Source organism: Homo sapiens, chromosome 12, assembly GCF_000001405.40.
Source record: "Homo sapiens chromosome 12, GRCh38.p14 Primary Assembly".
Lineage (NCBI taxonomy): Eukaryota > Metazoa > Chordata > Mammalia > Primates > Hominidae > Homo > Homo sapiens.
Window position 1 is genome coordinate 14,913,444 of NC_000012.12, and position 26,327 is coordinate 14,939,770.

The following is a 26,327-nucleotide window of genomic DNA, read 5'->3' on the forward strand; positions in this document are numbered from 1 at the left end:
GCCTTACACTGGGGCTTTCACAGTGTGGTTGCCAGCAGCTGACTCCCGCCCAGGGGCTGTGGAGTTTTCCCCACAGAAAGAACAACTGAGCCTTTCACTCCCTGTTCCTCACTTGGACCAGTCCTTAGGTACATCTGTGGTTTTTCAGCTCTTCAGCACTTAGGCACTTTCCTCCTGAGCCAAGGGCCTCCTGGGAACAATGCAGCATCTGTGTGTTGATAGTAACAGCCTATGGGCCAGAGTCACTCAGCCAAGCTCTCCTTTCACCACACAGGAGCTGGATCACACACCTTACCTGCAATAATCCAAGGCTTAGTCAGCCTCAGCCCGTCCCACTGCCAGTGCCCTGCTTCTCCTATCTGCTCCCCAACCTTTCACCTAATTTGCTTCCTAGCTCAGTTGCCACATTTGTTCCAATCCTCATGCAGGATGGTCTCTATTTTCCACCCATCCCACCCACAGAGTGAACAATAACATGTTAGTGGCTTATGGTCTGACACTAAACAGTGGGCACTGCAGAGGGAGGAACATGCTGCTTAGTTGGGCAGCTGGGTATTTACAAAAGGTTTGGCCTGCAAAGAGATGCCAGCCTTTCTCCTATAACATGATTGCCTTTTATTTATTATGCAGGTTGTTGATTTACATAGGGAGTTGGAGATGCTAACCAAGCATGGAGTTTTCACATGGTCTATTTCTGCTGAGTTCAGGGACTTGGAGACAGCCTTTAACTTCTGGCAAAAAGACAATTTCACAAAGGTGTTTAAAACCATCCTTTGGTTTTTGATCCTGAGTCAGAGACGGACATGTGCTTATGAAAGAAGGTAGAGTTTCAACCCTTAGGTAACCTTAAAAGAGCAGGAACTATGTTGTGTGTAAGTCATGTGCAGTATACAAACTTGATATTAAATGACAAATTGGAACAATCTTTCTCTAGGAATGCCTCTCTTTCATAGAGGCATCACAGTGAGTCTCTTAAAGCCTTGATCTAGGTGTGTTACAGATGGGCTTACAGAGTATGAATGCACGATAAGAAGGAAATTGGATAGGGAGTGAGGATATGAAATTTAAAAGAAGGAAGAAGAGAAAACGAGATTTTAAGACAGGAAATGAAGCTCTGTGTGTGTGTGTGTGTGTGCGTGTGTGTGTGCACGCGTGCGTGCGTGTGTGCACGTGCGTGTGTGTGTGGTTGGCAGGCCTAGTGATCCTGTTGTTTAGTGTCTCTGAGATTTGAGTTGTGCCTTTTTACTTTGCATAAAGTAGATACTTGGCCATATGTAGTTCCAAGGAGAAGTCAGAGTTCCACCTTTGGAGTCTTTCCTTCTGATTCACGATTTTCTTTCTGGAAAACATTATAACAATGATATTTAGATTAGTAAACTGAGCTGTTTACTCCTGGAAGTCCTAAATCCTTCTTTAATTTTTATCTCATGAACCCTGTTATATGAAGTTTGATTTGTTGCCCATTAATGCTTTACACTAAATGCTGAAATCCAAAATTCAGCCTCTGAATATGCAAGGCCTTTCCAAACATGCTTTTCTAGTTTGAGTCTCACGATATATCCTAACAAGCATCCTGACTCCGGCCACCATATCCTCATAGACTTTTGCTTTTAATCAAATCTAGTAGAGCCCAAATAATTTTTTTAACTTTAATTTTTTTGCTTTTATCTTTGTTTTTAATTGACACATAATAGTTACGTTTTTATGGGGTACAGAGTGATATTCTATACATGTATACAGCTTGTAATGATCAAATCAGGACAATTAGCATATCCATTGCTTCAAACATTTATCATTTCTTTGTGTTGGAAACATTCAAAATCTACTCTTCTAGCTATTTGAAAATATATAATACATTGTTCTTAATGACAGCCACCCTGTAGTGCTACAGAACACTAGACATTCCTCCTATCTATCTGCACTTGGTATCCATTAACCAACATTTTGCTCTCCTCCCTCTCTGAGCCCAAAGAATTCTTATTCAACTGGAAATAAAAGGGACATAGAAAGAAAACAATTTGCTTTACCTGCAGTCTCACACTTACCAACAATTTTCCACTTAGGAATCCATCACAAAAGTTTTGCACATGCTCTACGGAAACTTCTGCTGTGGGCAGTGTATCCCACTCGTCATCTAGAGTCTGGTAAATTGCCAAAGCTGGCAGTTGAGACTCCTTTAGTTTGAAAAATGATATCACCTTCCCATTTTCTTTCATACCACTGTCCACCAGAATAAAGAGAATCTGCAGTTGGGGAAGTTTGAAAGAAAAAGTTCTATCTGAGGTGACGTCCAGGGATAAAGAGATACCTTGTAATTGTTGCAGCTCACACTGATTGAATTTATGGTCTGCACCATGAAATTGAAATCTTGAGTTAAAATAAATTATTGCAGCTGTAACAAAGAACAAAATCATGTCTTTTGTGGGAACGTGGATGGGGCTGGAGGCTATTATCCTTAGCAAACTAACACAGGAAGAGAAAACCAAATATCACATGTTCCCACTTCTAAGTGGGAGCTAAATGATGAGAACTCCTGAACACAAAGAAGGGAACAACAGACACTGTGGTCTACTTGGGGGGTGGAGGGTGGGAGGAGGGGGAGGAGCAGAAAAGATCACAATTTGGTGCTGGGCTTAATGTGTGGGTGATGAAATCATCTGTACAACGAAGTCCCATAACACAAGTTCAACTACGTAATAAGCCTTCACATGTACCCCTGAACTTAAAAGTTAAAAAAAATGAATTTCCTATTATTTTGTGTTGCTTTGATGTTTTATCCCTTTGACGAGATTGATTTAATTTTAAGAACATAGAATTGGAAATTACTTTAGTGATTACCTAAGAAAGGAAGTATAGCCTAATGGTTAGGAGCAGAGAGCACGTTTTAAATTCTGCCTCTGGTACTCTCTAGTTACGTGAGTTTGGGCACATTACTCAGCCTCTCCGAGACTCAGTTTTCTCATTGGCAAAATGGGCTTTTGGTGGGGGAAATTAAATGAGGTAACGCATTAATATTTTTATTCAGCTTTTGGCCTATAGTAAGTGCTTGATAAATGTAGATTATTTTATATTATTAAATCAAACCTTCAACCCAAAGTAGAAATCTTCTTTATAATATTCTGATCAGATGATTGTCTACTTTCAGTAACACTAAATACTTTCAGTGTTAGAGAACCAACCATCAGAAAGGCGCTTATTTTATTACCAGACAGTTCTCATCATTAGAACAGTCACTAGTTAGGCACAGTAGCCTTGAAGTAGTTGAAGTTTTACTATTTCAGTAATATCAAGCAGAACTCCACAAAGGAGGGGAGGGAAAGAAAGAAATATTCATTGTATATTGAGCAGGCACCAGGTACTTGATAGGTGTTTTATATGAGAAATGAGCCCTGAGGTCTAAATCTCTATGAAATTATGGGAAGGATTAAACAAATGGTGACTTAGAGGTGATTTTGCTTTCAGTCTCTTTGGATCTCTATTTTCTCTCTACTAATCAATGCAGGAAAAAACCCACACTTAATCACTACAGGAAGATATAATTACATATGCCTTTAATATGATAAAATACAACATCTCTAATTTCAAATAATGTGATTTATTATGTCCTACTTCTTGCTTTGCTATCTCCTAACCATAGTTGTTTTCCTTATTTATCTCTGCTTCCTAGCCCCATCTCCCTTTTCCTAGTGTCCTGGAGGTGTGTATGCAATAGGATATTCCCATTCTTGCCTTACCTTCCCCTGGAAGAGCTTGGCTGCCTTCTGGTATCTGTGCATGTTCTCTTCATACTCTGGGGAGGCCTTGTTCATTATCAGGAGGAGATGAATCTGAATTACGCTGTTGAATAACCCAATCACAGTCTGGCAAGTCGAAATGTGTTACAGTAGAGTGAAAGCGAGAAAGAATGCATTAGTACCTGGGAAGGAGTGAATAGGTAGATTGAAACTTAAATGAGAGCTGGCCACTGGTAACACAAATGGAACTAGCTTCCAAGATGGCTCTCAGTTAAGTCTTACCATCTCGTTTTCATGCAACTGTGTAGATCCTTCCTTCCCACCCTGAATGGGGCAGAACTGAGTAACCAAGACAATGTTGCAGAAATGATGGAGTGTGACTTCCAAGGTGAAGTCTTAAAAGACATTATGGTTTCTGCTCTTCTCTCTATCTCTCACTCTGAGGAATACCAGCCCCAGTGTAGGGCACTCAAGCAGTCCTCTGAGGAGAAACGCATGGCCAGGAACTAAGTCCTTCTACTAACAGCCAGCATTGACTTGCTATTCATGTGAGGGAGCCATCTTGGAAGCAGATCCCCAGCTCCAGTTGAGCCTTCAGATGACTGCAGCCCTGACCAATGACTGCAACCTCCCAAGAGACCTCAAACCAGAAGCACCTAGCCCTAGCCACCCCAAATTGGATGACCTGCAGAAACTGCATGAGATTATCAATGTTTTTTATTTGAAACTCCTAAGATTTGGAGTAATCTGTTTTGCAGCAATAGACAACTAATACACTATGTAACATATTAGTCACTTTATTTCAGCCCCCTCTCTTGTTGCAAGACTAGTCAGAGACACTTAAAATGTAGTCTTTGTTTGAGTACATATTAGTAGTTCGTACTTATTGAGTGTTCATTACGTGGAAGGCACTGTCTCCAACTCTTAACAAAGAATAAGTAATTTAATCTTCAAGGTCCCAGTTTTTCAAATGAGGAAATTGAGGCATAGATAGACTAATTCTCCAAGAGTCAAATAAATGGCAGACAGGGATTCACACCAGGTGGTCTAGCTCCAGAGTCCATGCTCTTGATCATCAGGATGGACTGCCTCATGCACAGTGGATAGCAAAACCCCATATAAACAAACTCGATCTCAAATGTGGTTGAACCAATGTACCAAAGGTCAGCAGAAGGTGAGCTCTTCAGGAGACCAGAAGCATTGACCTTGTTTTGCTGATTAGAGATGGTGATTTTTCCATGAAGTTGTCAATGACTTAGAGGAGTGGAACAGCCACCAGTCAGACAGAGGAGAAGAAAAAGAGGGGAATCCATGGCACTGGTTCCCTTCATTTCACTGTCCTGAAATAATGCTGCGAGTCTACTTCAAACCAATCTCATCTCTTTTCACCTCTCCTAAATTCAGAAAGCATTGCTACAAAACTAGTGTGTACACAGGAAGAGAGAGAACATGGTGGGTTAACAAATCTTTGGTCAGAGTCTTAGGAGGATGGGGAAGGGCACAGCTAGGTAGAATTCTTCCTGATTTTTTACACAAGTTTGTAAAGATTCTCCAGCTCTTTTGGCTGCCTACAATATGTAGGCAAGGAGGGCCCAGTAGGTCCTTTCCTAAAGATTTCTCCGTGGAGTTTAAAATCAAGTTTTAGATTTTTCATTTGGGAGATTGGATGACACATGATTTACTCTTGTTTTACTAAATCCTGCTACTTAAATTTAGAGCATTCATTCACTATTCTAACACTGAGATGGAGGATAATTCCTGGGAAGAGTAAAGAAATAAAAGCTAAGATGTCAAAAGGTACAGTTATCTTGGCAGAAGGGATTGACCATAGCCGAATGGATTCATTTAATCCTAACAGACACCTTGACGCCAAGTACTGAGTGTGTGCATTAAAAGTGCGTGGCAGGTCAGGTGCATGGCTGGGATTTTCTGCCCAGTTGCTACTGGTGCAAACCTTTGCACCAGAAGCAGATGAGAAACAGCTATAGTAGAATGGGCAGTTCTCCAAATGAGAAAAATATTACTTTCAGGAAATAAAAAAAGTAACAATACAGATTGAACTTGCTTCTTTAAAGAAATTCTTACTGAATTTTCTCTTGATATAATCTGCCTTCACTAATAATATGGAACTTAAAAAAGATACGTCATTGCTCTGCGAAATGAGAGACAGATCAGGCATAAGAAACCAGGAAGGTTAGTGCATGCCCCTGCCTTAGCTAGCTTGCAAAATGCCACAACACGGAGGCCATAGCCCAGGGACCATAAGATCATCTTTTCTGGCCCCACATGCAGAAGAACACCTTTTTGATTATTACTGCCAATACCCCAGGGGCATATGTGTTTGGAGCCTTAGCAGAAGTGGAAATAGAGTCACCAACTCCACAGAGATAAAGATGGTGTGAGAGGTAGGCCAGATTTTAGTCCACAAGAAAAGGGGTGTTTCCTGTTGAAGGCAGTGTAGGGCAATAGACAACCACAGGATTCAGTCACAGGCACCAGTCATAAAAAAGCAAGGGCAACTACATAGGCTGTCTCTGAAGCTTGAATTACTAGCCATAGGGCTTTGAAGAAGTTACTTAAATTTTCTGAACTCCCATTTACTCTACTGTAAAATGGAAGTTGGCAAAATGTGCTAATGCATCAGTTACATTTTGTCCCTTAAATTATGCCTTTTCTATTTACTCATGATGTGACTTTGAATAATGTTATCAGTTGGATCTTGAATGTTCTCCTCTATAAAATGGACACAATAATTTCCTCTCTTCTACCTCAAAAAAAATCAATATGAGGATTGAATGAAAAAATGAGGATGAAAGGGCTCTGTAAGTTCTCAAAAATCATACCATGCATGTAAAGAACTGGTATTGGAGAATAGAAGGTACAGCATTTTGAGCTGATGTAGATCACTAGAAATTAATACCCTGTAAGGTTCTGTAATCTATGTCAGGGAAAATAAAGGATGGGACACATAAGATAATTCTGTAGACTGTTATAGTCTATAGAAAGTGTTAGAAGTCCATTTGGTGATCAGGACAGGTGGAGCACCACCTTTACTCAGATTGCATGCAGCATGCAACACCAGAGGAAGACACACCAGGAGAGAAGGCTGAGGCATGGTGAGGGTGTAGGCACTTGCTAGTCAAAGCATGGTTTGCAGCTGCTGCCAGACCAGGAACTGTTTGTTACTGGTCTGCAAGGAGGTACATACAGAAAATGAAATGGTTGTTTAGAAACAATTACAGAAACTTTACATTCCTGTGACATCCAAATATGTGATCAGTGAGCTTCATTTAAAATTTTTTTGTTTGTCTTTCATTTATTCTTATTTTATTTTAGGCACACACCATCATACCTGGCTAATTTTAAAAGTTTTTGGTAGAGACAAGGTCTCGCTATGTTGCCCAGGCTGGTCTCAAACTCCTGGACACGAGTGATCCTCATGCTTTGGCCTCCCACAGTGCTGGGATTACATTTGTGAGCCACTGCACCTGGCCTTGAGTTAGTCACCTTAACTGTGCATTCTGGTTCTCTTTCTTACTAGCAGTGTGATAGTTCATTTAACTTTTCTCTGTTTTTTTGTCTAACAGGAACAAGTTAAATCTTAAAAAGGTGTAGGAAGGATAGTAACATAAACAATACAGTATTGTATTGGTCGAAGAATTGGAACTCTGGGAGGAAGAGACCTCTGTTATGAAGACCAGTACCTTCCCCGACTCAGGGTCTGAAGGGACTAAGAACAGGAAGTATTGTTTACCACAGGGTTGTACTCTGTCACCATGTGGAGGCTGTTGATCTCAATGAAACGGCTCAATTTGGTGGCATCAATGCTTTCAATGTCTTCGTCCTCTAAATTCAGTTGTTCATTGTCTACCTGGATAACACAAAAAAGAATGAAGTCACTATTCCATCTTTTTTTCATGTATTGATAAACGTCTTTAGACCCCCATGTGACAGGCACTGATTAAAGCTCTGAAGACCAAAAGATAAGTAAGAGAGTTTCTCTGCCCTAGGGGGACAAACTGTCCTGTAGACTCCAAAAAAGTGAAGAGAAATTTCCCACATGATGTGGCAGGTGTCATCACAGGAGAATCACAGGCCCGCATGTCACCTATGGAAGAGCAGAAAAGCTTCAAGGAAGAAGTTACTCCTGAAAAGTGGCTAAGACTTGATCAGATAAATGAGGATGAGGAAGGAGCTTTAAATAGAGAACAGCATATGAAAATACTGTGAGATGTGAGAGGTTGCGTTCTGGAAGCTGCTGTTAGTTCACTGTGACCCTACCAGATGTGATGTGAGGGTTGCAGAGAGATCAGCTTAGAGGGATAAGGAAGAGCAAATTTGGAAGTGTTCTGAAGCCAAGGCATGTAGATTAAATTCTATCTGAGGGCAAGGGGGGTCATTGGCAAGGTCAGATTTGTATTATATTTATGTACCCTTTTACTGTGAAATAAAACACATGTAGAGAAAAATATAACACAGTATAAACATTTGCTGTAAAGCTCAGCAAATTATCACAGAGAAAACTATTGTAGAACCACCACCCAAGTCAAGAAATAGAATATTGCTAGAACCCCTGAAGTCCTGGTGCTTCCTTCTAGTTTATAATTCATCCTTTTTTTTTTGCCAAAGGTATGCTGACTTTTATGTTGACCATTTTCATCCTTTCCTTTATACCTTTATAACTTAAAGATGCTTCTTTTAATGCTATAGTTTAGTTTTACCTCATTTTTCACATTAAATACATGTAAACAAACTTCTTTGGCTTAACATTTTGATTATAAGTCATTTATGTTATTGCATGTAGCTGTAGTTTGTTCATCTTCCTTGCTGTATAATATTCAATTGTCTGAATAAACACAATTTATTTATTCATTTTACTACTGATGAACATTGGTTGTTTCTAGTCATTAAGACAATGCCATAATGAACACTTCTTGACTTTTAGTACATATATGCCTCTGTATCCACTGAGCATATACCTCAGATTGGGATTTTTGATTATAGGATATGTATATAGTTAACTAGTAGAAAATGCCAAGCTATCTTCCAAAGTGGATAATTTACACATACCAGTACTGTGTATGACAGGTCCCATTGCTCCACATCCTTGTCAACACTTGCTATTGTCAGTTTTTCTAATTTTACTGATTTTGGTGGATATGGTTATGTCTCAGTGGTTTTAATTGCATTTCTCTCATTAACCACTTAATAATAATTTAAGGATATGAGGACAATTAAAGATAATTATCCTCTTTATGAAGTGTTTATTCATGTTGCTTGCCTATTTTTCTTTTGTCTATCTTTTTCTCTGATTTGAACGTGTTTTTATACATTCTGGATATGAGTCCTTTGTTGGTTCTATAATATATATATTTTCTTACTAGGGCTTCTCCTTTAATGGTGACTGCACATGAAAGAAGGTAATTTAAACATAGTTAAAGTTATCATCTTTATCGCTAATGTGTACTTTTTTGTTTTGTTTTAAGAAATCTTTGACTACACCAAGGTCATGAAGATATTCTCCTATATTTTCTCCTAGAAACATTGTCTTTCACAATAGATCTAAAATCCACTTGGAACTCATTTTTCTTACTTCTTAAAATGGACGCTAAGGTAGGCCAGGTGCGGTGGCTCACGCCTGTAATCCCAGCACTTTGAGAGGCCGAGGCCAGCGGATCACCTGAGGTCAGGAGTTCAAGACTAGCCGGCCAACATGGTGAAACCCTGTCTCTACTAAAAGTACAAAAATTAGCTGGTGGTGCACGCCTGTAATGCCAGCTACTCTGGAGGCTAAGGCAGGAGAATCACTTGAACCCAGAAGGTGGAGGGGAGGTTGCAGTGAGCCGAGAACGTGCCATTGCACTCCGGCCTGGGTGGCAGAGTGGAACTCTGTCTCAAAAAAAAAAAAAAAAAAATGCTAAGATCCTTGATTTTTGTATTACTCTTCTCTAAAGTGAATATTAAAGTCTCCTTCTTTCTGATTGCTTGCATTAATTGGGGCATTGGTCTTCTACTGTCCTGGGTGTTTCTGGTTCTCAGGCCTTCAGACTCAGACTGGAATCTACACCATTGGTGCTTCGGCCCTCAGGCCTTCAAACTAAAACGCTGGCTCATCTAGGTCTCCAGCTCACAGGCAGTAGATGGTGAGACTTTTCAGCCTTCATATTTGTATGAGCCATTATCTTATTAAAAAAATCTCTTAATATGTATATTCATATATATAATATTTACCACTATATATATAATTTGTGTTATAAAAATAATACAATGTAAAAATGTAATTTTTACTATATAATATCTATCTATCTATAATCAATCTATCTATCTATCTATCTATCTATCTATCTATCTATCTATCTATATTACCTATCTCCTGTTGGTTCTCTTTTTCTGGTGAACAGAGAAACAGAAAAACAGAACCAACTATATTGCAAATAATACTGCCATGCCATTAGTTTTACTGCTATTATTGTTATTGACAAATTGATTGGTGAAAACTTTTCTTAGTGTTTGAAGTCTTTTTCCTATTTTATTATATTTTACTTTTAACCTACTATTCAGTTTTGTACATATTTATGGGGTATAGTGTGATGTTTCAATACATGTATACATTGTGTAAATAATCAAATCATAGTATTTAGCATATCCGTTGCTTCAAATATTCTTTGTGATGAGAACATTAAAAAATCCTTTCTTGTAGCTATTATTAAATTACAATACAATATTGTTGACTATACTCACCCTACTGTGCAATAGAATACCTAAACTTATTCCTTTCATCTAACTGTAACTTTGAACTTATTAACCAATTTCTCCCTGTCCCCACTTCCCTCTTCCCTCTTCCATCACCACTTCCCCCTCCGCTCCCCAGCTTTCCATAACCAGTATTGTGCTCTCTACTTCTATAGATCCATTTTTTAGATTGCTTGTATGAATGAGATCATGTGGTATTTGTCTTTCTGTACAAGGCTTATTTCACTTAACATAATGTCCTCTGGGTCTATCTGTGCTCCTACACATGACAGAACTTCACTCTTTTTTATGGCTGAATAGTGTCCATTGTATATATGTACTGCAATTTCTTTCTCCATTCATCTGCTCATGGACACGTAAGTTGATTCCATTTCTTGGTTATTGTGAATAGTGCTGCAATGAACATGGGAGTGCAGATATCTCCTCGACATACTATTGATTTCATTTCCTTTGGATGTATATCCAATAGTGAAAGTGCTGGTTCATATGGTAGTTCTATTTTTAAATTTTTGAGGAATGTTCATACTGTTTTCCATAATGGCTATACTAATTTACATACCCATTAACAGTGTATAAAAATACTTTCTCCACATCCACACCAGCGTTTGTTATTTTTTGTCTTTTTGATGATAGCCATTCTAATTGGGGTGAGGTGATATCTTATTGTGGTTTTCCAGTTTTTAATTAAAAAAATGTAGAAAGCAACCCCTGACTTGACCTATGTGCTCCTTTTCTCCCCAGAATGAGCCTATCGCTGTCAGAGATGTTTGAGCCAGAGCAACTCCATCTTGAATAGGGGATAGGAAAAATGAGCTGAGACCTACTGGGCTGCATTCCAAGATGGTTAAGGCAGTCTAAGTCACAGGATGAAATAGCAGGTTGGCACAAGATACAGGTCATAAAGACCTTGCTGATAAAACAGGTTGCAGTGAAGAAGCTGGCCAAAACCCACCAAAATCAAGATGGTGAGGAGCATGACCTCTGGTCGTCGTCCCTGTTACCTTCCCACCAGCCCCATGACAGTTTACAACTGCCATGGCAATGTCAGGAAGTTACCCTATATGGTCTGAAAAGGTGAGGCATGGATAATCCACCGCTTAGTGCATATAATCAAGAAATAACCAAAAAAATGGACAACCAGCAGCCCTTGGGGCTGTTCTGCCTGTGGTGTAGCCATTCTTTCATTCCTTTACTTTCTTAATAAACTTGCTTTCACTTTACTCTGTGGACTCACCCTGAATTCTTTCTTTCGCAAGATCCAATAACCCTCTCTTGAGGTCTGGATCAGGACCCCTTTTCACTAACATCTTTCTGGAAACCATGGAAGGAACTATAGTGAGGAAACCCCCTGACCCAAAGGCTAACTTTGGGTAAGTGATGGGGTTCAGTTATATCATAAATTAAGGGTCATTCCATGTTTTTATGTTTCCAAGATATAAAATCCTATTATCTGGCCAATTTTAAATTTGTAAGTAGCAAAAAATACATAGAAATCTATACATTTCCTCCTTAGAAGGCTCTAAATGCACTCATAAATTTGATATGTAGAATTTTTATCATTCAGTTCAAAATGTTTCCTAATTTTTTGTTCTTAATTCTTCTCTAAACTATTAGTTATTTAGAAGTGTATTTCTTAATTTTAAAATGTAAGATTTTCTGGTTATATTCTTATTGATTTCTAGCTTTATTTTTATATTTTATTTGTATTATTTGTGTCTTTAAAATTAAGTATATTTTACAGCTTTTGAATACAGTATTCTATAAATGTTTATCAGGTCACTTGGTGAATTTTATAGTTGAAATTTTCTATATCTTTCTTTTTTTAAAACCAGCTTATTTTATTTAAAAGAGTGTTGGGGCCTGGCGCAGTGGCTCACGTCTGTAATCCCAGCACTTTGGGAGGCTGAGGTGGGTAGACCACAAGGTCAGGAGATCGAGACCATCCTGGCCAACATGATGAAAGCCCATCTCTACTGAAAATACAAAAAATTAGCCGGGCATGGTGGCATGCACCTGTTGTCCCAGGTACTCAGGAGGCTGAGGCAGGAGAATCGCTTGAACCTGGGAGGCAGAGGCTGCAGTGAGCAAAGATTGCACCACTGCACTCCAGCCTGGGCAACAGAGCAAGACTCTGTCTCCAAAAAAAAAAAAGGTGTTAAATTTTTCTATTATGTTGTGGCTTTAGCCATCTTTTTATTCAATTTTGTCAGTTTCTGCTTATATAGTATCAGTACATGTATTTGATAAATGCAAATTTAGAATTATTAAATCTGTCTGGCAAATTGAAACTGTCATTATGAACTGTTATTCTTTCTCTCTAGGAATCCTTGTTGCCTAAAAGTCTACTTTGTTTGGTATTAATATATTCATATCAGCTTTCTTTTGGAAGTGTTTGCATGGTATAGCTCCATCCTGTGTTTTACTTTTGTCACTTGTAGAAGGCACATAGTTGCAATTTTCAATCCAGCCTGATAATCTTTGTCTTTTAATTGGATTATTTCCACGAAATGAAATTACTGGTGTATTTAATTATGCATTTTCCATTGGTTCTATGTATTCCAAATGCTATTTTTCTTTATTTCTGTCCTACTTTTGAATTGACTGAGTATTTTATATTATTTTCTTCTTTCCCTTTATTGGCTTAGAAGTTACATAGGCTTTAATTATTCTCTCAGGGATTGCCAGAATACATTATACAACATGCATTTTTTTTCACTTCTCAGAACCTAATATTAATTGGCAATTTCAGCTTCTTCTTGGACAATGCAAACATTAGAATATTCAAATACAGTTTACCTCTTTTAAATTCAATTTTCTGGCTCTAATTCAAGACTTACACATGATTAGTTCCAGATCTCACAGGATATTATTATTTTTGTTATATCTTCAATATACACTGACATTTATGCACATATTTGCATTTTAGCTTCTCTTTATTTATTCCTGTATTTTTTAGCTTCTGTGTGGGTTTTCTTTCCTCTGCTTAGAGAAGACCTTTTACTATTTTCCTTAGTATGAGATGGAGGTGTTCAGTGACAAATTCTCCCCGTTTGGCTGTTTAATATATATTTATTCACCTTTTATTTTTGAAGGCTGTTTTTGCTGGGGGTAGAATTCTAACGTTGGCAGTGATTTTCTTTCAGTATTTGAAAGATATAATGCTTTGTATTCTGCATTCCACTGTTGCTATTGAGAAGTCAGCTGTGAACCTTATGGTTGTCCCTTTGAGAGTATTTTGATGATAGTCTCTCTTTTCTCTGACTTCTTTTAACATTTTATCTTTTGTTAAGTTTTAGATGTACTATGGCATGGCTAAGAGTGGATTATGCATATTCCACATGTATATATATTTGCATATGTGTAGGCGTATGTGTGTATATTTGTGTGTGTGTGCGTGTGTGCATGTGTGTGTGTGTGTATATATATATATATATCTAAAATCACTCTAATTCAATTTCAGGGGCTGAAATGATTTGCATCTGTGCTGCAGCCCTTGAGAGGGCTTATCTACTATGATTCATTCCTGTTTTTAGGTACAGCTCTGTAGGATTCAAAGGGGATGTGAAAGGTGTTGTACTAGATTCACCTCCTATTTCCCCTTGTGAGGCCTGGACTCCAACATTTAATTTTCAACTCCTGAGGATCTCAAAATGCAAATTTATTTCTTAGCTTCTTGGCTGCTTCTAGAACTGACCAAAGCCGTCTAGACAAAAAGCAGTCCTCAATGCAGGGTTCATCTTTTTTGGTTTTCATCTTCTTCCAGATCTTGACCTAGATATTTTCCCTCTTTTACTGGCTCTCTAATGCCTTCAGGCACACACACACACACACACACACACACACACACTTACACACACATTCATGCACACACATTTTAACTTTTAAAAATAGTCTTTGGTGGAAAGGATTGTCTAGCTACATGATCCATTATCCCAGATTTGTATTTCAGAACAAGCTTTCCACCACACTCAGATATATTGAAAGATAGGACTTCATTCTTCCAATCATTGTTCTCAGTTTTCTATTTCCTCACCCCAATCTACTCATACCCATAAAGACACAAAGATAGTGCCTCCACCATCCATAGATAGATCCACGCCTATAGATAAAATTATTAGTATCAGCTCCTGAACAATTTTGTCCATTTCCTACAATAGTTTGCATCACTTTTGAGATCCTTAGGCCATCTGCTCTTGGACATCTCCTTAACCCTTTCCCCTCCATGTGCTATCTGTATAGGTCCTGCCCAATCAGATCTTGCCTTGGATCAGAACCACCCTTTTTTCCCCAAGGTACTTTCTCCTAGTCTACCCAGTAAGATCAGAAGCAAATCTCATGTTAGTTAAGGTAGGAGGGAATTCAGGCAAAGGGAAATTAAAGTCACTAAACAGCAAGAATCTAAGATTGCTCTTTATTGTCATCCCGGTGATGATTCCTATTTCACCTCTTTTCTTCAAGAGGGTCTCCCATTGGGGTAACTAAAAGCAATAAGAACTCTGGAGATGCACAATGCACCCCTTATGGTTAATTTTAATTCTGGATAGATCTAGTCATTCTCTTCCAATCCATTTGTTTCATAATTATTTGCCGAGTGCCTGCTATATGCACTGAGGCATAAAATTGCAGCCATTCATTCAGATGACAATTTAAGCACTCTTTATTTTGGGACTGCTTTATACAATTTAAATTTATGAAATAAATAAATGTTGAGGTACAGAAAAGTTTGTATTTCTAAAAAAGAATTTTGAAACAAATCAAAACCACAGGGTAAAAATGAACTCCTTGTGTATATTTAATTGTTTAAAAATTCACAAAGTTTTGAGTAGAAAGCTTGGGAAAAAACAAAACAAAACATGAAAGCAAGAGAAAAGGTCTTAGGTAGATCCTTGCCCACCCTCCTACCACCTCCTTCCCCTTCCCTTGCCCATATCAAGACGAATGAGTAAAGAAATAAAATGAGCACACAAAAAAATAATATTTGCAGCTCCTCTAGATACTTAATGCTGCTACCGACCTGTATTTCCAGCTGGCAAGTCTCCTTCATACTTAAGGCTTTGCTATTGCAACCACCAAAATCATCATCATTATCATCATAATCAGGACTCGTTTAACATTTGATGTGTCTAAATGCTTCCTGACTATTTTTCTAGGAATTCCTAGGTCTGGTGCCTGCACCTCAGCTCACATCGCTGTGCATGGATCAAGAATCCCCCCCTCCCTGTACTCTTTTCCGGGCAGTCCTTCATACTTCCCAGAACAGGGAGAACAAGAAAAGCCAGTTACTCTGGGTGTTTCTGGACTTAAAGAATGCACTAAATTGGAGGCAGAGGATGTTAAGTGGTGATAACATTCTCTAAGAAGCAAAAGAGCTTTAATAAAAGCCACTCTCCTGCAGTCTCTCCAGTTTGTTGTACTTCTTTTAAGAAAACATGCCCGATCTTTCATTATTTCTTAAACTAATAAACTCTGGAACATTCATGTTTAGGGTTTCTGGAAGCAACATTTGAACAGGAAATCTCCCTCTGTAAAGGGAATTATTTGCATAATGCACTGGAAAGAAAATCCAACCCAGGAACCAAGAGTTGGAAAAACCTTTTAAAATGTCTTTTTTCAGTTTTATGGAAAGAATTTTACTTAAAATATCATATTTTTATTTCAGAGAAAAGAGGCAGCAGAAGAAAAACAGAAATAGTAAACTGGAAATATTGCTACCTTAAAACATAATTTTGAGTTTCCTCAAGAGTATCTGAAGTAGATTTTTTTTGTTGTTGTAGACACTACATCATACCAATCACTCATTTTCTGTTCATTAGTATTTCAGCTATATTCATTTGAATTCCCATGGAATTTTCTAACAACCCAGATTTTTATAAAATGTATTAAAATTGTCTTAGTTTATGCCACAGTTATAGTATTAAATGTCTTTGGTGGCACTGAGAAATCATTTGTTAAACAAAGGTCCTCACGTCCTCGGTTTGTTTTTTTAAAGCTGTTCAGCTTATCATATATTTAATAAATATATACTTTAAAAAAAAGTTTCATCATGGACACAGGTAGGGGAACATCACACACCAGGGCCTGTAGGGGGATAGGGGGCTGGGGGAGGGAGAGCATCAGGACAAATAGCTAATGCATGCGGGGCTTAAAACCTAGGTGACGGGTAGATAGGTGCAGCAAACCACCATGGCACACGTACACGATATAACAAACCTTCATGTTATGCACATGTATCCTGGAACTTAAAGTAAAATGAAATAAAATAAAATAGAATAAAATAAAAAATGTTTTATAATCTGACATATCTTCTTGCATTTCTTATCAGTTTATTCTCATGCACGAGTTTCTTCTGATTCTCTTTGTCTGGTGAGGTAAATTTCTTATAATAGTTACCCAATAAATAACTGTAAAAGGAATAAAGGATGACTGCACTGTGTTTTCATTACTATCCCATTAGGTCAAAGTTAGGTTAATTATGTTTCTTTAAATAGTAGTGACTGAAAAAATCCAAAGCAGGGTAAACATTCAAATAATATTTCAAATTCCATTTTAGGACAGGCTCATAGTTTATTTAACCTGGGAGTTACATCTCTGCTAGGGCAACAATAAGAGTCCTGTTGAAAAATTTGAGAGTTTATATGCTGTTACACTCACAAAAGACAGGCTGTGCCCTCACACAGCAAGACTGTTATATGCAACTTATGGTTTCATGAATTTTACCTAAATTCTTCCTGATTACATTTATATAGTTGGCCTGCACTATTTTTGGAGAATATTATGTTGCATAAATACAGCACTGGCTGGCCTTTTATTGCTCCAACATTTCAAGCATGAGTAATATCCATTTATTGTTATTTTTTCAGTTAATCATTATTTCAGCTTATTTCTAAATATGTTCTTAAAATGGAAAATTTTGTAAATTTAGACAATATATAATGTCTAGATTAAATCTTGATAAATAATTCTGCAGTTTGATTAAGGAATGCTAGGAGGCTAGAGGAATAAATTAAGAGAAAATAGTTGAAAGAAAAAAAGTAGGCTTTAGAATGAGGGACATTAGATAGAATTCAGTGTAAAAACAAAGTTTATCTTCAGGGTCAAGTGCTTAAGAAAGCCACTATAATATAGTAAAAAGGGTATGATTTGTAGACAGCAATGCTGGGTACGAATCAGACATCTGTTACTTCACAGTTGTGAGATTTTGGGCAACTAAACCATTCTCTCATGGAAATTTCTTTATTAAAAATGCAGGAATAATAAAAATTACTTCATCAGATTCTTGTGTGAATTAAATGGTCAAATATTGTAATAGTGCCTATCATAGATTAGGCTCTGAAAACAAACAAGCAAACCGAACAAACTGGATCCAGAAAATTTTCAATAGGTTCACGTTTCCCAGTGTAAAATAGGATAGTCTTGGTTGATGTTCCCTTTTCAAAAAAAAAAAAAAAAAAGTGCTCCAAACTCTTGAATAATGGTCCTATTAAAATATGTACTAAAGTTTTGAAAGTGTAAACTGTGAAAAAAATATTTATCTGAAAGCTGGCATGACAAAAGTTGAGCTTCTTCCAGCTCTGCCAGTGAAGTAGGGCAGGAACCATTTTGTTTGTTTTCTGGTATGGCACATAAATAATCTTGCCCACAGAGGTCCCAAGAGTTCATTTAGACTAGGTCCGTCACTAGCGGTAAACAAAAAACAGATGTTAAAGAAGACTGAAAAACTGAGAAGTCATCAGTGAAGCTTTATGAGGAATAAATTGTAAGCAACGCCAGTGCTCCTGTTAGAGGATGTTAAACCTGTAGAGATGTTGGAAGCAACGGCACTTGTTTTTCTTCCCCATGTGCGTATCTTGGTGGTACTAAGCCTTTTAAATCAGGCCTTATAAGACCGACAAACGAAAAACTGAGAAAGAAGTAGGTGTGGAGTGTAGCTTATTAGAATTTTTGTATTGAAGGATTTCTACCAGTGGTTCAATGGCAACACGAAAGGCATTTGCCTAACCTTCCATATATTCCTCATCAAAGCTTTTCACAGAAGAATTTGATTTAATCTTATTTCACACTGGTGAGAATGCAAACCAGCAACCACTGTGCAGGTGGGAAAGGGGTTGCTGAAGGGAGCTCACACAACTTCAGACATGCTTTTGGAGGTGAGTTTAGTTCCCCAAGCACCCTCCGAGTGCCTTTAAGGTGCCAGAGGTGTATTATAGCCCTTTGAATACAAAGATGAATAAGTCATCGTTTCCAGCCTTGAATAGGTCATGGCCTAAGAGGGTAATAGAGGAGACAGATACGTAAATATATGATATGAATTATAAAATGGTATATGAAAATAGAGATAAGGAGTTACATATAGAGGAATGCTTAGGCCCATTTGGAGATTCCAGAGATATTTCCTGAAGGGTAACATTCCTGAACTGATTCACTGGAGTATGAGAAGGAGTCATCTGGGTGAGGCTAGGTGAAAGGGGACCCTTGGCGGGTGGTGGCATTCTAGACAGAAGGAATAGTCTAGGCAAAATCATGGAATTGGATGATCATTATGTGTATAGTTGGCTACTGAGAGGATAAAGCCCAGGGTGGAAGCTGGATGGAAAAAGGACTAGAGAAGCAGGCAGTGGGGCAGGCCAGCAAAGCCTATTTGTAACATTAAATATCTCATTTTTGATTTTTAAGAAATGAGAAATGTTGAAGAGTTTTAAAGAGAAGAGTGCTATGGCCAAATTTCTATCTTAAATACATCATTGTGATACCATTTTAGAAACTGTATATAAAGTAGTAAAAGGAGATCTGTTCAGAAGCTAATGAAATTGCTTATGCTTAGGCTAAGAGCCTAAATACAGAATGAGGTAGAAGGAGTGGAGGAGAATATAGATTCAAGATAGAAGATACAACTGGCAAAAATGTAAGACCAAATGAGCATAGCCACTTAATAAAATAGTATCTTAGATGGAGGAATATGATTAGCAGGTGCAGACAATAAATTCAGTTTTGAACATTTTAAGAGTATAGTGCTTATGAGGGTATATACCCAGCAAACATTTGAATCATGAGAGAAGTCCAGACTAGGGATAAAATATTCTAAATGTTCCGCAAGCACATAATAGTGGAATATGCAAAAGAATTGTACTTCTTAAGAAGAACATATTCATTCATTCATTCATTCATTCATTGATTCTTCATATATTCATTCTAAACAAATACTTAGTGAGCACCTACTGCACAGCAGGCACTGTTCTAGGCTCTGTGGATACACTGAACAGAACAGTCTTTGCCTTCACATAGCATGGGTTCCATGACCCAGACTGTAAAAAGTGTTGGGTCAGGCAGCATTGTAGATACAGGAAGAGAAGGTCTCAAAGAGATTATAAAAGCAGCAGGAGGATCAGGAGAAGTAGTTTCCTAGAATTCAAGGAAAGAGAGAACATTAAAAAGAAAGAAGTCATCACTAACATCATACATGACAGAAATGTTGAGTAAAATAAGACCTAAAAAGGGTTCATTGAGTTTGGCAATATGGAAGCCATGCAGACCTGGATAAATGTAGTTTTAATGGTGTGATGGGGGCATAAACTAGATAGTAGTGTCTAGTTTAGAGAAAGACAGTACAAAATACACTTAAAGAAGTTTCAATGAGAAAAGAAAGGGAAAGAAAGGATGGAAACTAGAAGGGGCACGACATTCAGTCCCGAAATACTGAAAACTTTTTCTTTTCCATCAATTTACTCTTTTTCAGTGGACTCTTGATATTCCACCAACAAGTAGAACTCAATGACCAATGAAAGCATCAGAAACCCCTATTTCTGCACATGACCTCACTATTCTTAGACACCCTGGCTTTAAGCTTTGCCTGCTTTCCATAACTGTGATATCTAATGATCACAGGATCTTCCTCTTCTTTAATTTCTGTTGCTACCTCTCTACTACAGACTCTTAATACTTCTCACATGGTCTATTTTGTCAGCCTAACAAAAGCTCCCTCTTCTCTTGCCTTTTAACCTAAAAATCCATCCTCCACCTTGCTGTCAAAATAATCTAATAAAACACATTTCTGTTCATGTTACTCCCCTGATGTAAAGGCTTTAGGGGCTTTCCAGTAACAGCCAAATTCAGGACAAACTCATTAAAGTGGTATTCTACTTTTTCCCCACAATACGATTTTAATCAAGTTTCTTTCTCTTATATTCATTTTCCCCAATGTGTACCCTGGGATCCAGTGAGATTGGCCTGTTTATTGTTTCCTGAGTTTTTTCCCGTTGGCCATGAATTCTTTAGCTTGTCTAAACTTATCTATCCTTCAAGTTTCAATTCTGTTGTCTTTTTCTTTTCTTTTTTTTCAGAATTCCCACACTGTTTCTATCCTTTGAACTGTGATAAAACTTTACCCATAGTGATTCTCTTTTTATTATAGATACTTGCATATTATATATACAATACCTACCATACTTAAAGATCTATGAGACTGGAGAATATATTTAATATGTTTTTATTATCGGTATCTTGCATAGGGCATACAGGAAGTATTTAATAAATGTTTGAAGAACATAAATGAACTCCTCAAAATATTTAATATAAAAATTTTGGAGCTCAAAGTGACCTTAGAGATAATACAGTCTAACTCTTTTATTTTATAAAGGAAAGAATTGGAGATAAAAAATGTTAAGTGACTGCCCAAAGTCATGTGGCTGTTGAGCGACAAAGCAGTACCACAAATTCCATTCCCTGGCTTTCAGTCCTGTCCTCTTTCCATTTCATTACAGTACCTGTTTGGGAAGCTTGAATTGAGTCATCATCCTTGTCAACAATGTCCCTGAATTTGGTACCATCATTAGTGTAAAAGACATAGAGTCCTTTCCAGTCTCACAAGTTTATGAGTCCACAACCCAGTGAAAATCTGGGAGAAAGCTCAAGCTACCCACCCAACTTACCAGGCGAAAGAGGCAGATGGTGTTCCCAGTGATGTTGTAGTGTGTCAGAACCTCAGAATCAGTGCTGATCCCAAATGACACGCCTGGGAATTTTTGCACCATGCTATGGAGTATGGGCACTGCTGGTATTTCTAAATCCTAAAAACAAGAGAAAAAATAATACCACAGTGGTTATTTCGAAGGGCAGAGACAAACGATAGGCAAAAGAAATATGATATGATGTTTACCAGAAATCATAGATTTGATTTACTGCCCAGTAACACATGATTTACCCCTAACAATTCAGGTTTAACTGGCAGTGACATTCTTGAATTTTCCAGGCTCTGTAAGTTAATAGGTAACCACGAAATTGTAGCTGAGCCTGAGACTCCTGTCAGGCCTTGTCATAGAGCTTGAAGTTTACTAGGGGCTGAGAGAGGCCTCAAAATCATAAAGGCCTGCCTAGTTTGGCTGCACTGTTGTAGATACACATGAGAAGCAACTCTTCTGGGAACAATTTGTTTAACGGTGAAATAGCAAACAAACTAACATAACCAACTCTATTTTTGTTTAAAGGGCATTTATTTACTCATTCCTGCATGTAGGTTAGAATAATTTTAGAGCACTGAGATAATAGGCAAAAATAGGAGTTATATAGTTTTTAAAACTAACTCTGGGATTAAAGGAAAAGTATGTAAACAACTAACTATGTAGTGCTACAGATTTATAGGTGCCTTGTGACCTGACCAAGGACAAAGAAGTTCCCAACTTCCTGAGACACTTGCTGGGGCCCAGATGCCTGTGGTTGCCGGTTATCACTTGATCCCAACTCCCTCCTCTTCACCCTGCCCTTAACATACAAAGAACCTAAAATTGGTAGTGGCTTAAGATGTACTTTGTTTATTTATTTTGACACAGAGTCTTGCTCTGTCACCCAGGCTAGAGTGCAGTGGCAAAATTTTGGGTCACTGCAACCTCTGCCTCACGGATACTTGTGCCACAGCCTCCTGAGTAGCTGGGACTACAGGTGTTCACCACCATACTTGGCTAATTTTTTCTGTATTTTTAGTAGAGATGTGGTTTTGCCATGTTGCCCAGGCCAGCCTTGAACTCCTGAGCTCAGGCAATCCACCTCCCTCAGGCTCCCAAAGTGCTAGAATTACAGGTGTGAGTCACTGTGCCCGGCCAAGATGTACTTTAGGATGCTAGTCCGCTGTCTTCTTGGTTTACTGGATCTTCAAATAAACTGGCTTTTCCTCCCACCGGCTCTTCCTCTTGAGTTTTGGCTTTGGTTACATTTGTGGATGAAAGGAAAAAATGCAAAAATATGAAATAGACGCCATCAAAAGGGCCAAAAAAGAAAAAAAGAAGAAAAATAAAACAATTAAAATGAAAGCTTAGAAGTTTTAACAAAAGTTTATGCAGGTTATGGAAGGACAGTCCCTCTCTTGCCACTGTAGATAAACCTGAGCTTTGCACATGAAGATGCTGTTCACGCATTCAACTCTGCAGCCCAGGCCTGCAGGAGGCAGCAGAGAAGCCACTTGCGAACAGTGATTCCAGGCCTTCCATAGACGCTGGCATCATTTTCCCTGCTCTCACGGGACCTTTATCCATAGCAGCTCCAGGAAATTAACAGGAACAAACATGTTCTACCCTGCAAGTCCCCAGGCTGAAGGAGGAGATGTGCAAGGAGAAAAGAAGATGGCCAGTTGATATGGTTTGGCTGTGTCCTTACCTAAAATCTCATCTTTAAATGTAATCCCCATAATCCCCACATGTCAAGGGTGGGACCAGGTGGCAGTAATGGGATCATGGGGGCAGTTTCCCCCATGCTGTTCTCGTGATAGTGCATGAGTCACAAGATCTGATGGTTTTTTAAGCGTCTGGCATTCCCCTGCTTGTGCTCATTCTCTCTCCTGCCATCCTGTGAAGAGGTTCCTTCTGCCATGATTGTAAATTTCCTCAGGCCTTCCAAGCTATGCTGAACTGTGATTCAATTAAAACTCTTTCCTTTATAAATTATCCAGTTTTGGGTATGTCTTTATTGGCAGCATGAGAAGAAACTAACATACCCGTCTTGCATCTGGGGTCAAGCAGAGGGAGCTGGTATCTACTCTTCTAGAGGCCATGAACAATAATTAATTGAGGCCTCCTCTCTTATTCTGCTCCTTCAGATGGAATTGCTGGAGGATAAAATGATGGCATCTGGCGGCTGTTTAAGTTATTGCACACTCCTCCAATTCCATGCTCTTGCCCCTTCCCCATCTTTCTGACGGTGTTTTTGTCTACAGCTCAGATTTCTCATTCCTGAAAAATGTTGTCCCTGTCTTTCTCCCTGACTTGCATCTCATTGCAGTGATTTCCAACTGTGTACGCAGAACTGACAGGGTAATCAGGAGTTGTAACTGAGAAATGGAAACAGACAAGAAGGTCTGCTATGAGAGAGTAGGGGCTTGATCAGCTGTGAGGATTTCCAGATGCTACCACCAGAGAAAGATGAAAATGCTGGAATGAGGCAGTCTCATTTATGGCTGCCTTTCTTAGTCAAGAAGCTAATCTGGAAGATGGAGGTTAACACCTTGAATATACAAAATGCCATCATTTTCCAACATTTCAGACAAGGCAAAGAGAAAGAAGGAGAGTCTACCATATTTGGGGGAAAGGCTTTAAAAGGCTGTGCACTGACTAATGTCCAGGATGTTTGGCATCCTGTAAACAGTGTTGCTGGATGATATAAATTGGGTTCACTCTGGCCCCTGCCTATTCATAGGGTGCTATGAGAGTATAGACCAAATGTGTTTAGGACAATGGTGGGGTTCCATGAAGGCATTCTTTCTGCAGATACTGACTTGAGCTTCAAAGCATCCATAGATGAGGAGATGCAGCCCACAGGCTCAGAACTCTTGAAGTAAGTATGAGAAAGATATAATTTAGAGACTGGGAATGTCTTGAAAATAAGAGGTCCCAATGGACAAGATGAAATCAAACTGGGTGGCTGTCTCCCTTTACCCCCACTTCTAATGCAGTGCCATCTGCCAGCAGCAGGTGGCTGCTGTGGTTCCCTTAAGGTAGAACATTTCTGGCTCTTGGGGGAATTGCAAGTAGGGAACTAACCTGGAAGAAGCCTATGACAGCCACCTCAGTGGCAGCAATGAATTCCATGGCAGCTGGGACATCTGTGAGCCACGTGGGTTCCTGGGCAGCACCAGGACCATCTAGAGAGAGAAGCAGAAGATGTCAGGGTACTGAGGCAAGAAGAAGCAGCTCTAAATAATGAGGGCATCTATACCTTTTATCTCTATACTAAGGGCAAGAAGAGCACAATTTATAGGAGTACTGTTGGCATTCCAAGGCATAATATTTTTACTAACATATGGAAGGTGACCCTACTGATGGTCTGTCTCTGAAGGATACTGCCAGACTTCCCTACTCTCTACCAGGCAAAATGCACTTATCCAGGATTTCCTGGAAAGCTTTCTAGGTGTGGAGGAAAAGTACCCAGAGAACCACCATGCTCCCTTTCCTTCTCCTAATAACACTTTCACACTATAGCCACCCAACTACATTTTTCTTTTACCTGAGGATTTCTCAACTTCTGCAGCAACTTCTGCAGCCAGCTCACACGTGAGGAGAAATAAGAGGAACATGAACCTGGACGGGGCAGCTTCCATTGTCCCTCTCCTGCTCCTGCTCCAACCCTGGACTTTGTGTTGGGGAGGCCGACTCAGGGCAGCCTACTCTGTAGCTGATTGGCTGTGGGGTTGTTAGGGCTTTGGGAACTTTGCAGCTGGCTCCAGGGGAGCCTTCAACTTCTGAGATAAAAGACCAAGGTTAGTAATAGGGACTCAGAACATATCCAACCAGAAGAAAGTCAGGTCAGTTTATTTAAATAAAAAATGTAAATATGCTATGCCAGGCATTGATCCTAGCGCTAAGAATAGAAAGATAATTATGATCTGATCCAGCCTCTGCCAGCTTAGATTATCAGTGGGAGAGATGGGCAAGTAAAAAGATTATTTAAATATAAGATGGAAAGTGATATAGAAAAATTCATAGGGTGCTATGACAATACATATTAAGGGTATTAGGGACAATGCTAGGGTTCAATGAAAGTGTTCTTCCTGCGGAGGATGCCGGAGCAGAGTTCTGGGTAAGTAAGATTTTGCCAGGCAACACAAGGTAGAAAGGGAGTTTCATGTAAAGAACTAAAGCACAGGCCGGGCGTGGTGGCTCATACCTGTAATCCCAGAACTTTGGGAGGCTGAGGCAGGTGGATCACGAGGTCAGGAGATTGAGACCATCCTGGCTAACATGGTGAAACCCCATCTCTACTAAAAATACAAAAAATTAGCCAGGTGTGGTGGCGGGCGCCTGTAGTCCCAGCTACTCGGGAGGCTGAGGCAGGAGGATGGCCTGAACCCGGGAGGCAGAGCTTGCAGTGAGCCGAAATAGCACCACTGCACTCCAGCCTGGGCGACAGAGCGAGACTCCGTCTCAAAAAAAAAAAAAAAAAAAAAAAAGAACCAAAGCACAGATATGCAAATATAATGTGTGACAGAATTACTAGTAATTGAGAATGATGAAAAGGAAGGAAGTGATACATGTGGACAGAAAGGCATGTTGGGACCAGCTCACAGCAGGCTTTATATGATACACTAAGCGCGGGAGCATCAATTTTATTCTGTAGGTGATGGGAACCACTGAAAAGTCTTAAGCAGAAGAATGAGATGAAGTTTGATTTTGCTCACAAGTGTCTGAGGAAGTCCAAGATGAGATTTCCACAGGCATTGGGATATGTAGTTTTAAGCTTAGGAGAATTTTCATGTGAAAATATTACAAAAGAAATTAGGAAGCCCTAGCCAGGGCAATTAGGCAAGAGGAAGACATAAAAGGCATCTAAACAGGAAAAGAAAAAGTCAAACTATTTCTCCTT

The 26,327-nt window shown here is 38.9% G+C and overlaps 1 protein-coding gene across 2 annotated transcripts, besides 1 other annotated feature; it reads right to left on the reverse strand.

Annotated features, from left to right (window-relative positions):
* Nucleotides 1-595: 595 nt before the first annotated feature.
* On the reverse strand, nt 596-25,094 carry ERP27 (endoplasmic reticulum protein 27). 2 transcript variants are annotated; one of them, NM_152321.4, is made up of 7 exons: nt 24,972-25,094; nt 24,509-24,609; nt 21,413-21,550; nt 7,489-7,605; nt 3,735-3,860; nt 2,046-2,243; nt 596-1,339 (listed from the first exon to the last, which is right to left on the reverse strand). In NM_152321.4, exons 1-7 carry the CDS (start codon nt 25,063-25,065, stop codon nt 1,292-1,294), a joined length of 822 nt encoding a protein of 273 aa, NP_689534.1. In that variant the 5' UTR covers nt 25,066-25,094; the 3' UTR covers nt 596-1,291. The 2 variants fall into 2 exon arrangements, with proteins under 2 accessions (NP_689534.1, NP_001287713.1); NM_001300784.2 differs by lacking the exons at nt 21,413-21,550; nt 24,509-24,609; nt 24,972-25,094 and adding an exon at nt 15,502-15,689.
* Nucleotides 24,550-24,609: an enhancer, noted in NCBI's record as "active region_6059". NCBI's record gives its function as "activates an Ori minimal core promoter by ATAC-STARR-seq in GM12878 lymphoblastoid cells {active_cell/tissue: GM12878}" and the evidence as "EXISTENCE:reporter gene assay evidence [ECO:0000049][PMID:35858748]".
* Nucleotides 25,095-26,327: the final 1,233 nt, after the last annotated feature.